The sequence below is a fragment of the Homo sapiens genome, chromosome 4 (genome assembly GCF_000001405.40).
Source record: "Homo sapiens chromosome 4, GRCh38.p14 Primary Assembly".
Classification (NCBI taxonomy): Eukaryota; Metazoa; Chordata; class Mammalia; order Primates; family Hominidae; genus Homo; species Homo sapiens.
The window spans coordinates 64,766,163-64,781,683 of record NC_000004.12 but is presented as its reverse complement, the minus strand read 5'-3'; the positions used below and the strand labels follow the sequence as shown (position 1 = coordinate 64,781,683).

Genomic DNA, 15,521 nt, shown 5'->3' with positions numbered 1-15,521 from the left:
GTTGTACATCATCTTCACTAACCTATTATAGCATTCATTAACTCTTAGATTTTAAAGCCATAAACTTATTGAGCATGCAACTTTACAACTTATGTCCACATTAGCCTCCTTATAGCTGCAAAAATATCAATATTAGCAATTAATAATTTCAGCTGTTATAAACTGTTCAAAAGTTCACCAATTAAATTACAGATTTTATGTGAGCTGAAAATATAACATAAAATTATCTATTTTTCTGTTCAAAGCCAATGATACTTTAGAATACTTGGTGAATAACAGTTTCTTATTACTAAATGAAGAAATAATAACTAAGTCAGAATAAGTCAGGGAGTTCCTCAATATAAATTTAAACTATGTTACAAATTAAAAATTTGAGGCCTCTAGAACACCTAGTTTGGACCAATTATTACACTGGTAAAGAAAATGCTATGTTCTTGCAGTCTATTCAGTACTGAGAATAGGGCTGGTCTATTTGTGCCCCATCTTCTGTTTGTGCCGGTGGCTATGGCTTCATGTGGTCACTCCTGCTTCCCTTGTGGCTACAATCTATGTGCGTTTACATTGATAAGAAAAAAAAATCAGAAGTAGTGAAGGTAGGATAAAAGGTACATATGGACTACCTTTAAGTGCCAAAGGATGCTCAAACTTTTATTTTTGTTCTCAGAACTATTCATACATCCCCACGGGAGGAGTATACTTACTCAATCCTAGACATTGGGTTTCACAACATGAGTGACTTTGGATAACAGGACGTCTTCAGACACAGCAGGGATTAAATTTGCAACGTGCTTGTGAATGTTTGTTTACTCATTTGCTTTTCTGTCGAGGTCATCATAAAAACATGCTTAGCCTCACCTGCTGGTCCCAGGAAGAGGAGGGACAGGTGGAGCAGAGCCTACCTCTGAACCAAATCCAGCCTAGATCCATTGACCCAGAATTCACAGAATTCTGAGCTAAATAAATGCTTAGTATTTTATCCTGATGAGACGTTCTTGTGTGTGTGTGTTTTGGTTCTGTTTTGTTGTTTAACTGCATAAGTTGGTCATTTTTGATAGTGACAATTTTCCTTTTCCGCGTGGTAAACATCTGATTCACAGTCATAGAGAGGTAGTGTTTACATACCAGTTCAATCAATTCCCTTCTTCAAAATCTTCATGAGGCTCACTATTTTGCTTTCTGAGATCAAATAAATGTCACTTTCACAGAGTGCTCCTTCTGACTACTTGTCTAGAATATCTTTCACCAAATAAATACTTATATAATCCATTTGTTTATTGCCTTCCCAACAAGTAATATTTTTAATTGTCTTATTAATTGGCCCAATCAGATATAAATTATGTGAGGGTAAGAATCTCATCTTTTTGATTCCTGCTACATCTCCAGTCTCCACTTCCTAGAATTCTCTCATTAAATATTTTTGAATGAACAAATGAATGATTCATTCAGTCTATTAATAGATCAATCAGTTCCATCACCTGATTTGGATAACTCCTACTTCAAACATCACCTTTTAAAAAAATAAGTCCTCATTAGTTTTAATTAACACTATAACTGTTCTTTAAATTCACCTGTGTGTCAACTGTCAATGATTCCCTAGTTAACTAATAACAAATTATTCTCATTTGACTTGCAGCTCCATGCTCTAAATCAGGCAGTTTTATTCATATACTTTATGTGAGTTGAAAATATAACACAAAATCATCTATTTTTCTGAACATATATATATACATCTATATATACACATTCAATTTTTTTCAACTATTTCCATCACAATTATGTTCCTTCTCCATCTAATTATATTAAATGTATAAGGTAGGAATTCTCCTTAACCTTTACATCAAGCTTATATTTTTAAAATCAGAAACCTAAAATTATTTCATCATGATGTTCTGATATTCCTTACATGGGTTATTATGAGTCAGTCTTCACAACAAGGTGTGGATGACTTGAAGATAGAAAAAGTTCAATTGCCAATATTTTGTATTTATTTACTTAACAGTGAATATTTATTATAGTAATGGATGTAACTATACATAAGACTCAGATCACATCCTCAAGACCTTGCAGCTTTGCATAGGAGATAAGTACTGATTATTCTGAAGTAAAAAATTTGGAGGGGAGTTAAGGTAGGTATTATGAAGAACATTACATAAGGGCAATAATTATGATTCAAACTTCTCTGGAGGTTTTCCTGATTCCATTGTTTAAAGGAAACTGTATTGCTGGAAGACTACATTAGCATTAGTTTTAGTAGTACTCTGGACAACAAATGAACACAGTAACTAAGCAGAAGGAAACTGTTACACAATCATTGGTTTGTAGACCAGAATTTAAATGAATGTCATTGTACCTGAGGGTGATAAAAAATTGTAATTTAGAGTTTTCTGTTGCTATAATTATTATCACCAAAGCAATTGTTTTAAGTAGTATTTCCAGATAAATACAATAGCTAACCCTTATTTGTAATGATAATAGAAAAGAAAAAGAGCATATGCTTTGAAAATATGTGTTCTCTACACCCTTTCCCCTGTATCTCTCAATATATTACATGTGAAGAAACAAGAAGAAGGTGACCATCTACAAGCCAAGGAGAGAGGCCCTTAGAAAAAGCCAACCTGCTAATACCTTGATCTCGGGTTTCTAGCCTCCAGAACTGTGAGGAAATTAATTTGTTATGGTAGCCTTAGCAAAATAACATAATATTTAATAACTATGTTTCCAAAGTCATATTTTCAAACAAAGAACCAAAGTTAAACATTAGAGAACAGCTTTTCAGAACATATAATCCACTAGTATTCATTATGAATCTCTAAAAGATCAAGTACTATCTTTTTAATTTCTAAAATTTATTTAGCCATGCTACATTTTTTTTTTGTAATGAAACACTGGTTCACCTCTCATGTGACAGAATGAACCTCTGAAAGTAATTAGGTAACTGTTTCTTCATAATTTTGTCTTGAATGTTGCCATTCCCATAAGTTTCCAAATATAATTTATGTTTTATAGACAACCAAATTCACATCCCTGGGGTCTCTGTCTTGAACTCAAGAATTGGATATATTAATTCTTTAGTACTGCTTTCTACATATTGCTACTTGGATATGCTGCAGAAAAGTGTAATCTAAATTGAACTAATATTTTATTTTTTCCTGACATCTAACTCAAGCATTCTTAAGTCTATGGAGAGTTAGTCGAACTGTGAAGTTATTGGCACAGTCCTCCAGATGGCCAAGTAAGTTCATGTCTGACTCTAACTTCAAGAAGTTGAGTCCCAACTATAAAGTTAGAGGGAAGGGTCCACATAAGATTACCCTATATTATGATACCAACTGTAAGTTCAAGAGTTTCCCCAAATCATTCTCAGGTTCAATAATTTTCATTACAAAGACTAATGAATTCTTCCAAAATTCATTAGTTCTGAAAGATAGGACTCACTAAAACCTATTAGACTAATGGCTACACTTATTACAGGAAAAGGATACATTAAAACTCAGTCAAGAGGCCGGGGGTAGTGGCTCACGCCTATAGTCCTAGCACTTTGGGAGGCCGAAGCAGGTGGATCACAAGGTTAGGAGTTCGAGACCAGCCTGGCCAACATGGTGAAACCCCGTCTCTACTAAAAATACAAAAATTAGCCAGGCATGGTGGTGCAAGCCTGTAATCCAAGCTACTCAGGAGGCTGAAGCAGGAGAATTGCTTGAACCCAGGAGGTGGAGGTTGCAGTGAGCCGAGGTCATGCCATTGCACTCCAGCATGGGAGACAGAGCAAGACTCCGTCTTGAGGAAAAAAAAAAATCTCTGTCTCTCGGGGAAAAAAAAATCAGTCAAGGGAAGGAACACAAAGGGTGCAGTCTGGAAGGGTTCCCAAAGCAAAGCTTCCATCATTCTGAAGATGTATTATCCTCCAGCCATTGATCTGAAATGATATGCATAAGACCTTACAAACCTGTGCAGCTCACCTGAGCTTTGGTGTCTCAAGTTTCATTAAGAGTTTATTATCTATCTATGATCAATTGATTTATTGTGTATGTACTTGAACTCAATATTCAAAAACTCCTGTACAGAGATTGGACTGATATGATGTGGCTCCAGGAAACCCTGAGTCACCTGGTTAGCATCCACTACCTCCTGTGGTCCAAGGGGCCCACCATGAATAACAAAAACACTCTCTCAGTTGGAAAATTCATGAGTTCTGAGGTTACCTTCCAAGACCGTGAATAATGGCATTATACCTCTTTTGGCAATTACGCATTCCTGACTACACAATGCCCCATTTGCTGATATGGTGTTCACCTTGGCCGTCTGTTTAACTCATTAACCCACAGAAATGCCAAGAGGCTTGCTCAAATTGAGATGTTTGCAACTGTCTTTATTTTACCTGTAAAATCTTAGTATTGCTAGTTAGCATAAGCTTTAATCCTGTCATGTTTAAAGATTTCCCAGACCCCTGACACATTACTTCAGTTTTTTGTTGTCAACACATAACTTTAATCAAATTTTATAACCTTCCTAAGGCTCTTGTTTTCTCACCTGTTAAATGGAGATAACTACCTTTGGCGGGGGATAAAAGCTTTATCAAAAGTTTTCAAACTTTGCTCCATTTCCTCTTTTTTAATAGATTCAGTGAAAAAATAACAAAAAGAAATGCTGTAAAATTTTGCCAACTCAGCTTTCCTCCTACAAGTTATGGTACCATCTCAAATACCCTTTTTGACCTTTCTGGGAGAGAAGAGAAAAAGGGACTGTGTTTGTCAGCTCAGGCTGCCATAACAAAATGCTGCAGACTTGAGTGTCTTAAACTACAGAAATTTATTTTCTCATGATTTCGGAAGCTGGACATTCATTATCAAGATGCTGGTTAATTCATTTCTGGCAAGGGTTCTTTTCTTGGCTTGTGGACATACACCTCCTTGTTATGGTTTTGCGTGGACTTTCCTCAGTGTGTGCACAGGGAGAGAGAAAGGAAGCTCTGTGGTGTCTTTTCTCATAGAGACACTAATTCTATCAGATCAGGGGTCCTCCCTTAAGGCCTCATTTAACTTTAATTGCTTCTGTAGAGTTCTCATCTCCAAATACAGCTACACTGGGTGCTAGGGCTTTGACATGTGAATTTGAGGAGGCACATTTTTCCATAACGGGGGTCATGACATAGCAATATGTTCAGTAAAGATTCATCATATTACGGTCTACTGGCTGCAGAATTACAGAGTCAGTGATCTTCTAACTGACACCTCATGGGCAGAAGAGAAAAACAGTAAGGTTAAGGAAGAAATGCAACGAAGAGGATCTCTACTGCCTTTGCAAATATCTCGGCCTCCCATGCCCCTCATTTTCCCTTTTACTCAATGATGAAAGCCCAATACTGTTTATACTGAGCCATCTGCTGATTCACATTGATCCACAGCAGCTCAACGGTACTGGAGAAAAATTACAGAGCCATGCCTGCTAATTTCACAGCAATACTGCTTGATAATCATATCACTGCTTCAGGAAATTCCCTTTCCCATTCTCAAGAATGACTACACATTTCAAAAAATGTCTTCCCCATTTAGTATCAGTGGATGAATTTGTTACATAATTCCTACAAAAATGCATACAATACCACATCAATTAATTAACTTAATGACAGTTTCACCTACCTGCTTGTACTCTGTCATCCCTCTTGTGATCATGAAGTGCTCCTGTTTCTATATGAGGCCTGGTTCCCATATGCTGTTGTACCCTAAAGGACTTCACTTCTTCAATTATCCCATTCTCTTCTACATGGTTAATTTATTCTTTTCTACCAATCACAGTTCGTAAACATGTCTCGGTATCACTAATTTTAAAGAAATACACTAATGAACAAATCAAACACTTTGCTTTTTTTTTAATCCTCCACTAATCTCCTGCTCAAATTATCTTCTCTCCTTTATAGGAAACATATCAACAAAACTGTCTACACTTACTCTTTTTACTTCCTCACTTTTCATTAACTTTTCAGCACACTCTTCTGAATTAGTAAACGTCACCAATAACCTACATCTTGCCCAAATCAATGATCATGCTTACATTTAGTGTTCTTTTTTGTTTGTTTTTGTTTTTGTTTTTGTGACAGAGTCTCACTCTGTCACCCAGGCCTAAGTACAGTGGCGTGATCTTGGCTCACTGCAAGCTCCGCCTCCCGGGTTCACGCCATTCTCCTGCCTCAGCCTCCCTAGTAGCTGGGACTACAGGCACCCGCCACCACACCTGGCTATTTTTTTTTTTTTTTTTTTTTTTTTTTTTTTTTTTTTTTAGTAGAGACGGGGTTTCACCGTGTTAGCCAGGATGGTCTGGATCTCCTGACCTCGTGATCCACCCGCGTTGGCCTCCCAAAGTTCTGGAATTACAGGCATGAGCCACTGTGCCCAGCCACATTTAGTGTTCTTAACTCCTCAGCAGTTTAGTGTTTGCCACTCTTAACCCCTGAAATACAGAAATCTCTAGACTTTTTGATATTACCTAAAGCTTATTTTCTTTCTCCTTTACTTGCTGTTCTTTGTCACTGTCCTTGAATCTTTCTTTCTCCATTGCCTGGCCTCTAAATGTCAGGTTACAGCATGGCTTGGTTCTGAAACACTTTCTTGTCTAACATACTTTTTTCATCATAAATAATCACATCAGTTTCCTTATTTTTAAATGCCATTCATTGGCCCATAAATCCTAACTAAAAAATTCTAATCTAGCATTTTCCCTTGACTTATAACCTTGAATAGCCTCTCCAACTAAAAGACATTCAATGATTTAACCGTCCAAAATGTAACTACTAATTTATCTCTCTACATTTGTTCTCCAAGTCTCCTTGCCACAGTAAATAGCATCAACATGCATTCCTACCTTAGTAGTCATCATAGTGTCATCTTTCCTCTTCACAACCTATAACCAATCTATTCGTAAGTCGTCCAAGTTCCATTGCTGAATTATATCCTGAATCCAACCATTTCTCACCAATTCCAGTCCTTTCAAGTTTTGAATCTCTAACTCCTGGATTACTGAAACAGACCATCAATGGTTTCCCTGGCTTTATCCTCAGCTCTCTTCTGCTTTTCCACTCCCAACACTGTAGTCCATTCATTGCTCAGCAGCCATCACGTGGTTTTCTGTTTTCTAAATCACAGAGCACATCATGTAATCTTCCTGCTTATGCCTCTCTTGTGGCTCTCCATGGAAAACAGAATAAAATCTGAGGAGGCCCTACTGAACTGGCTTTTACTACCTTTCCTTGCTTCATCCATCCATTTCATCTAGCAGCACATTTCAGCCACAGCCACAGTGACCACCCCACCCCTACCTCCTATTTCTCAAAACTACTAAACGCCTTTTTTTTTTTCTCAGTGATATTACACTAGATTTTATTTGATTGGGAATGCCTGCCTCTACACTTCTGGTTACTATCCACCTGTTATCCTATTTTAGTTTCTTCATATGTGTTTAATTTCTGTATTGCTATGGTTTTGCTGTGTCCCTCAAAAAGCATGTGTTAAAAACTTAATCCGCAATACAACAGTGTTGGGTGGTGGGGACTAATGATAGATGTTTGGGTCACAAGCGCTCCACCCTCATAAATGAATTAATGCTGATTATGAAAGTTCTGAGACTGCATATTCAATCTTTTGCTCTAGCTCCTGCCCTCTCTTGACCCTTCCACCTTTCACCATGTGATGATGTGATGCGAAGATCCTCACCAGATGCCAGGTTTGCACTTCCTAGCCTCCAGAACTAAGAGCCAAACACATTTCTGTTCATTATAAATTACTGAGTCTGTTGTATTCTGTTATAGCAGCATAAAACAGACTAAGACACACGTCACCCTCTTTTATTTTGTTTTATTATAATCAGTGCCTAAAACCTTGCTGCCCAATACTGTAACCATTACCCACATGTGATCATTGGGCACTTAAAATGTGGTTATTCCCTATTGGGAAGTGCTGTTAGTATACAATTCATGCCAAATTTTGAATACTTGCTACAAAAACATGTAAAATATCTGAATAATTTTTGTCTTAACTAGGTGTTAAAGTGATAATATTGTGGATATATTTGTTTAAATCAAATATATTATTACACTTCTTTTTACCTATTTTATTTTACTTTTTATCATGGCTTATAAAAATGTTAAATTATATGGGTGTCTCTAATTGAGTTTCATAGGTTGACAAAGAAATGGTTACAATAATCTATGCCTATTTCATGAAGAAAATCAAGAGAATGTGTTTAATCAGACAGAAAGGAAAAAGACAGAATTTTTAAAGTTGATAAAAGGATTGAGAAGTTTATATGTGAGAATAACTAATAACACCAGTCAAGGAACATTGAAATAGGAGAAGAAAAGACAACTTATACAACTCAATATGAAATCAGCTTCTAAATTTTCTATAAGCATAATAGCATAGCATGTAGTTGGTATAGGAAAAAATATAGGATGAAAACTCTAAATAATAGAAATGCATCTATTTAAAATTAAGTAGGTTATGAGAAAAATTTCTCTTTAAATATTGAAGAAAAATGGTTATTCAGTATATGAGCTTAGAATTATTGCTTAAATGGGGAAAAATGCAAAAAATAACTGTAGATATATGTCACATGTTTTAACCGTGAAAATCTTTATCTGAGTAGAGTAGTTAGTGATTTTAGAAAATCTGCCCTTTCTGGCATTTTCTTATGTTTTCTGCAGAGTACATACTATTTTATTGTTAAATATGTATATTTTATTTCATATGTTTATAATATATATGCAGTATATATTTTTAGAAAACAAAACAGCAATTATTAGGCAATATTAGGCACATAAAAACAACAGCTAATGGAGAAAAAACAATTTTATGTCTACAAAATTTAGTAAAGGCCTAAAAATTAATCACTTTTAGTATAGTCTCCACATTTTTAATAAACATTAATAATAATAATTGATACTTACAGATGTGTGTGTGCCCCATTTCTTACAGTGCCAAAAATCTCTTTTATCTTACCCATATATATTATGGTTATTAATCCCTTGTCAGATGGATAGTTTGCAAATATTTTTTTCCATTCCATGGGATGTCTTTTCACTTTGTTTATTACTTCCTGGGCTGTGCAGAATTCATTCTTTTATTTTAAATAACAAGATCCAGAACCAGAAAACAACAACAACTATAATAATAACAATAATACTTGAGCTTGCAATTACAGGGAGCAGCAGCTTTAATTTCTTTCTCTCTTTCTTTTTAAGTAGCTATGTGTACTTTGTTCCTAAGACATTCTATACTTCAATAGAATTGTTCCTGCTTAAAGAGGCAAAGAATCCTCTTAGCAGTAAATTGAAAGGTGATCATTAGAATATTGTGTGGCATAATGGAGAATGCATTTAAAAACTCTTTTGAGGTAGAGTGAATTTTTTCCTTAATAGTATATTTTATATTAGACTTTTATCAAAGCTGAGAGTATATCAATCTCAACTTTTGAAAAAGCATTTTTTGTTTCAATTACCTTTTTTTGTACATATGCATATGTATGTTATGTAGATATACATGTACATACATATATAGGTATATATGAATATGTATTTCATGTAGCTATACAGGTACACACTTATGTATCTACATTTATGTAGACATACATATATATTTATATGTAAATATAGATATATATGTATTGTACAAGAACTTTTCTTGGATAAAACTTTTATATATGGCATTATTTTAGAGTAAATATAATCTTAACAAAAGCATTTTGTTTCTACCTATGTCCTCCCAGTATCAATCACCTCTGTATTTTCTTTGCTGAGTAAAAGAATAACCTGCTGCAGCTTGCCGTTCATCAGTTTCCTGAAATGAAACTTATTAGAATAAGAACATGATGAATTTTCCCATTTCTGTATGTCCAATCAGTCTGTTCATTGTCTGAGAGTGCACCCGATGACTAAAGATGTCAGTTGTGTCTCTCCAGGTTCTTCCAGTAGCCTTTTGCTTTAATCCAGCTGCTGCTTTGCATTTGAAAACTAAATCAGCCTCAGTATTTCACAGTCTTTTTGATCTTGGGTTTTATGATAATGAGATTTTGGCTACAGAAATCATCATTCAGAGAATTCAAACAGATTTTAGCACCTGTTAGCAGGTGTTAAAAAATAAGCGTCTCGTTTAATTTCTTCCATTCTTTTGATTTAACTCATCTTTAATTGAAAACATTTTGTCATGAAAGGGCTCTAGAAAATGAAGAAAATCCTTATGCACTTTTATTTCTATTTTATTATTATATCTTTCTTGAATGGTCAATTCTCAATTTGTCCTTCTCCAAAATGGGGAAAGAAGATGAGATAATTAGTGTTTTTGCTGAGTCACCAGATGAACATTTCCGAAGTAATAAAAATAGCCAGAAATATGTTTGGCCTAATAGTGTCACTGATGCAGTGAAAACAAGAGAGGTTGTAGTCCATGGAGCAACATCCATGTCCAGTTTAAGGCTTAGTTACCAGAGGTGTTACAGGAAACTGTATCATGTTCTGGTTTTTCTCATCTGAAAAAAAGAAGTGGTTATGCTTAACAATTTCCAAGGCGGCTTTTGTAGCTAAAATAATATATATCAATGTTATAAACTTGTATTTAAAAGTTTTTGAGCTACACAAATACATGGTGTGTTATTATTATTATTTATGAAAGATCCCAAAAAATAAAATTTTGCTGAACTTATTAACTATGGGAAAACCAAGGATCCTATTTTGTCTCTTTTTTAAATGTTGAGTGAATAGTTTTTCACTAGAATTGCAATACAAAAGTATATGTATAATATGATTTAAAAATTATGAGCATTTAAATATATTCAATGCACCTTCCATAAATGAAGTAATAAAATACTTCTTTCTTTTTGATGCTTAATTTAACAGCAACTTGGAAACAAACGTCAAATTTACAAGTACATCTAAAGATACATAGCTATGTTTTGAAAAATGCTCTGATGTAAGAAATCTTCAAATTGGAAGTCTGTTGGGGTCTATATGACCTCATTTACCTTGGCTATACAAGTCTGTTTAAAGGTTCCCTACATCTTTGTTTACACAATATGCTACTACTTCACCCTGTCCGTCAGAGTTGTCTCTCAGACTTCTTCACCAATTCTTTAGACTTCAGTTTTCAGCTTTCTTTTCTCATTCTTCTTATTCTCTAAAAGATATTGCATTTCATTCATTCATAAAACTTTAATTGTTACTACTTACAGAATAGCCTGAATTTTGCATTGTATTCAGGCTTCTGAAGCCGTCCAGAATATACCACTTTGGTATAAGGATTATTTTGAGCCAAAGGCACTTGAAAAACAGAAGATTTAAACAGAATATTTTAATCTACTATTTTTTCTTGCCTACAGGAGATAAAAACTCCCATATGAAAGACACCCTCCCTGTACCAGGAGAAAAGAAACATTCTTCTATGGGGAGTCATAGCTGAGAAAACTCTATACAAAAAGACCATGTTAAAATAATTCTTATCTTCCTTTAGCTTCCCCATATAATTTAGTTACTTTTCTGTAATTCCCTCTCTTTGATCAATCTAATATAAAATCATATGGATTTTCCCACTTCTTTGGTCTTCATTTCCTTATGAGGGCTTCTATGTCACATAAAACTTAATATTAAATTGGTATGCTTTTGTCCTTTTAATCTATCTCATGCCTATTTAATTTTTGGGCCAAGTCAGGGACCCTAAGAGTGTAGCAGTAAAGTTTTACCTCTCATATTTACTTTATATTTTATATTTACCTTAAGTTTTTATGGCTGATTTCAGGGCAAAGTTGAGTACAAACTCTATTTCAGATTCCTTTGTCACAAAACAGGGAAAAGAACATATTTGCAGAGTACATTTAAGTATTAGGACAGGAATGATACCCCTGACATTGAGAATGGTTGAGAAATAGATATTATCCTCAAGAGGAAAAGAGTTCTAAAGATACAACAGCAACATTCAAACATTTAAGTAAATGGTTTTAACAGGAGGAGAACAAAGCATGTATTCCTCTTAAAAGTGCTTTTAAAACTGGAAATAGAATAAGAAATATATCGAATTTATAATTTTTCATCATACTAACATATTGTGAAATTTAAGATGCTAATAAAATGACTCAGAAGATTTTTATTGTTATTGATTATTGAAAGTGAGCATAGGTTTAAAGAGTTTGAGATACCTGACATATGTTATTGAAAGAAGAACTTAAATTTTCTACACTTCATGAAAGTTTGTACCTAAAATCTATGTTTGGAAACTACAATGAGTAAAATTTTTTATAAGTAAAATGATAAATTTTCTAACAATCTAAATGTTTATTTTATTAGATATATTTGGAGCACCCTCTTTTATAAAAATAGTAATCCAAATGCAAGACTATATCACTTTTGGTATTATAGAGATTATTACCACCTGGAAAACTATGAAAAAGCAGAGGTGGTGATTCCCATTACACTATACCTTCAATTTAAAATTTCTTTTTTGATATCTGCAAAAGACAGATGAGTCTTGGGAGAAGAGAAAAGTAATGTACGTCATACCAGATGGTATCTTCCATTGCAGCTGCTATTCCAGATGTGGTCTTTTTATTGGATTAAATAAATATAGTCTCTGGAACTTGTTATTCAGCTATTATAATTACTGTGTGATAGACTATTATTGTAATGGCCTCTAATAAATCACCTCTCTCTCCATCTATTCACTAATTTAATCTCCTCATTCATTAACTCTGGGCTTAGCCATGTGACTTGCTTAGGCCAATGGGATTGTAGCAAAAGTGACCCAAGAGGCTCAAAGAGTGCTTGTACAATAGGGCTTGTCCTCTTTTGCTTGTTGCTTTTGGAAATCAGTAACAATGCAAAGAACCATTGGCTAGTCTGTTGGAGACATGTGGCCAGACAAAAACTGGTGAAAGTTCACAAATAAGAGAGAACTGCAGGAGAGAAAATTCCAGGGAATGTTCAGTTAAGTACTGCTTACCAAATGATATGGTTTGGCTCTGTGTCCCCACCAAAATCTCATCTCAAATTGTAATCCCCAAGTATTGAGGGAGGGACCTGGTAGAAGGTGATTGGATCATGGAGGTGGTTTCCCCTATGCTGTTCTCGTGATAGTGAGGGAGTTCTCACGAGATCTGATGGTTTTAAAAGTGGCAGTTTCCCCTGTGCTTTCTCTCTCTCCTGCCGCCTTGTGAAGAAGGTACTTGCTTCTCCTTCACCCACCACCATGATTTTAAGTTTCCTGAGGCCTCCCCAGCCATGCAGAACTGTGAGTCAACTAAACCTCTTTTCTTTTTAAATTACCCAGTCTCAGGCAGTTCTTTACAGCAGTGTGAAAATGGACTAATACACAACACTTGTGTGAGTAAAATATTCAAGGCTGAGAAAAAAACTATCTAACAGGATTATGGCAACATTGCTTGGGGTATGCAAAGGGTGAAGAATAGTGCCTCCTTCCAACAGCACAAAGTAGAAAAACTCATAATTCAGGGAGTAGTTTAATGTAATGGTCTTCTCTTAGTAATCAGGAAAAAAGAAACCCTAGACTAAATGTATTTCTGAACCCATCTACCAAAGATTAAAACAAGATGCTAAAACATCAAACTGTTTCCAAGTAACTGTCCATGTCTCACAATAAAATCCTAATATGATAGGAATACAAAAATATTCAGCCCCCAACAGAGGAAAATTTGCAATGTCTGACCTCCAATCAAAAATTAGGAATTAGCAAAATAAAATCCATAAGAAAGATCTTTTTTTCTTAGCACCTCAGAGGTGATCAGTTGCTTCAAGATGAAGCTGAATATTTTCTTCCCAGCCACTGGCTGCCAGAAACTCACTGACATGGATAGTGAACATAAATGTTGTACTTTTTATGATTAACATAAAGCCATAGAAGTTGCTGCTGTTACTCTGGGTGAAAAACGGAAGGGTTATGTGGTCTGAATCAGTAATGAGAATGACAAGTGAGGTTTCCACATGAAACACTGTGCCTTGACCTATGGCCATCTTCATCTGCTATTGAGTAAGGAACATTTTTGTTATAGATTCCGAAGAATTGGCTAAAGAAAGTAAAAATCTGTTTGGAGTTGAATTGTTGGTGCTAATCTGAGTGTTCTCAATTTGGTTATTGTAAAAAAAGGAAGAGAAATATATTCCTGTACTGAATAATACTACAATACCTCATCAGCTGGGGTCCAAAAGACCTAGCAGAATCTGTAAACTTTTTTCATCTTTCCAAAGAAGAGGATGTCTGCCAATATGTTGTGGGAAAGACCTTGAGCAAAGAAGGTAAGATACCTAAGACCAAAGCGTCCAAGATTCCACATTATGTTACGCCACATGTCCTGTAACACAAACACCAGATTGCACTGGAGAAATAGCTTACAAAGAAAAATAAGGAAAAAGTCACAGATTATAGTAAATTTTTGGCAAAGAGAATGAAGGAGGCCAAAGAGAATGAAGGAGACCAAAGAAAAATGCCATTACCAATTGCGAAAAGACACAGGCTGACCTCTTTAACAGCTTCTACTTGTAAGTCTGAGTCCAACACAAAAATAAGATATTTTAATAATAATAAATAAAGGCCAGGAGTGGTGGCTCACACCTGTAACCCCACACTTTGGGAGGCTGAGGCGGACAAATCACTTGAGGCCAGGAGTTCGAGACCAGCTTGGCCAACATGGTAAAAGCCTGTCTCTGCTAAAATTATAAAAATTAGCCAGGCGTGGTGCTGTACACCTGTAGTCCTAGCTACTTGGGTGCCTGAGGCAGGAGAATCACTTGAACCCAGGAGGCACAGGTTGCAGTGAGCCAAGATTGTGTCACTGAACTGCAGCCTGGGTGACAGAGCAAGACTCTGTCTCAATATTAATAATAATACAGAAGTAAATAAGACCAGACCTCATATCTTTAAAAAAATGAGGAATCAGCAAAATACAATACATAATAAGGGGTAAAGCCAATTTTATTAATTTTCCAGGTCTGCTGTAACAAAGTACTACAAACTTGGTGAATTAAAATAATAGAAATGTATTGCCTCTGAGTTCTGGATGTCAGAAATATAAAATCAGGGTATTGGTAATGTTCCATGTCTCTCCTCCACCTTCTCATGATGATCTGTAATTTTTGGCATTCATTGGCTTGTAGACTCATCACTCCAATCTCTGCCTTCAGCTTCATATAGTGTCCTCTCTTTGTATTCACATGGCCATTTTCTCCCAAGGACAGAATTAATTTTGAACTCGGGGCCTAATCTACTCCAGTATAACCCCATCCTAACTAATTACATCTATTAATACAATAATCATATTACCAAATAAGGTCACATTCTGAGGTTCTGAAAGTTAGGACTTCAACATACATTTTTTTTTTTTCCGCAGGGGGGAGTGTCACAATTCAACTCATAAAACCATTCTATAAACTAACTCAGAAATTGTACAGTTATAGATTTAGTAGATATAGATTTAGTTAAAGTTTGGAAACTTTAACATTAATTATTACTATATCATATAAATTTAAAAACGTA

The 15,521-nt window shown here is 35.1% G+C and overlaps 1 long non-coding RNA gene and 1 pseudogene across 2 annotated transcripts in view; one reads left to right on the top strand and one right to left on the bottom strand.

Moving 5' to 3' along the window:
* LOC107986284 (uncharacterized) overlaps positions 1 to 7,062 on the bottom strand; it is a 116,209-nt gene extending 109,147 nt beyond the window's left edge. Inside the window, exons 1-2 of one of the 2 annotated variants that reach the window (XR_001741712.2) lie at positions 6,859 to 7,062; positions 5,640 to 5,818 (exon numbers count right to left, since the gene is read on the bottom strand). This is a non-coding gene — a long non-coding RNA (uncharacterized LOC107986284). The remainder of the gene's footprint in view (positions 1 to 5,639; positions 5,819 to 6,858) is intronic. The other variant, XR_001741711.2, reaches the window with a different exon arrangement.
* Positions 13,746 to 14,578, top strand: RPS6P5 (ribosomal protein S6 pseudogene 5; annotated as a pseudogene).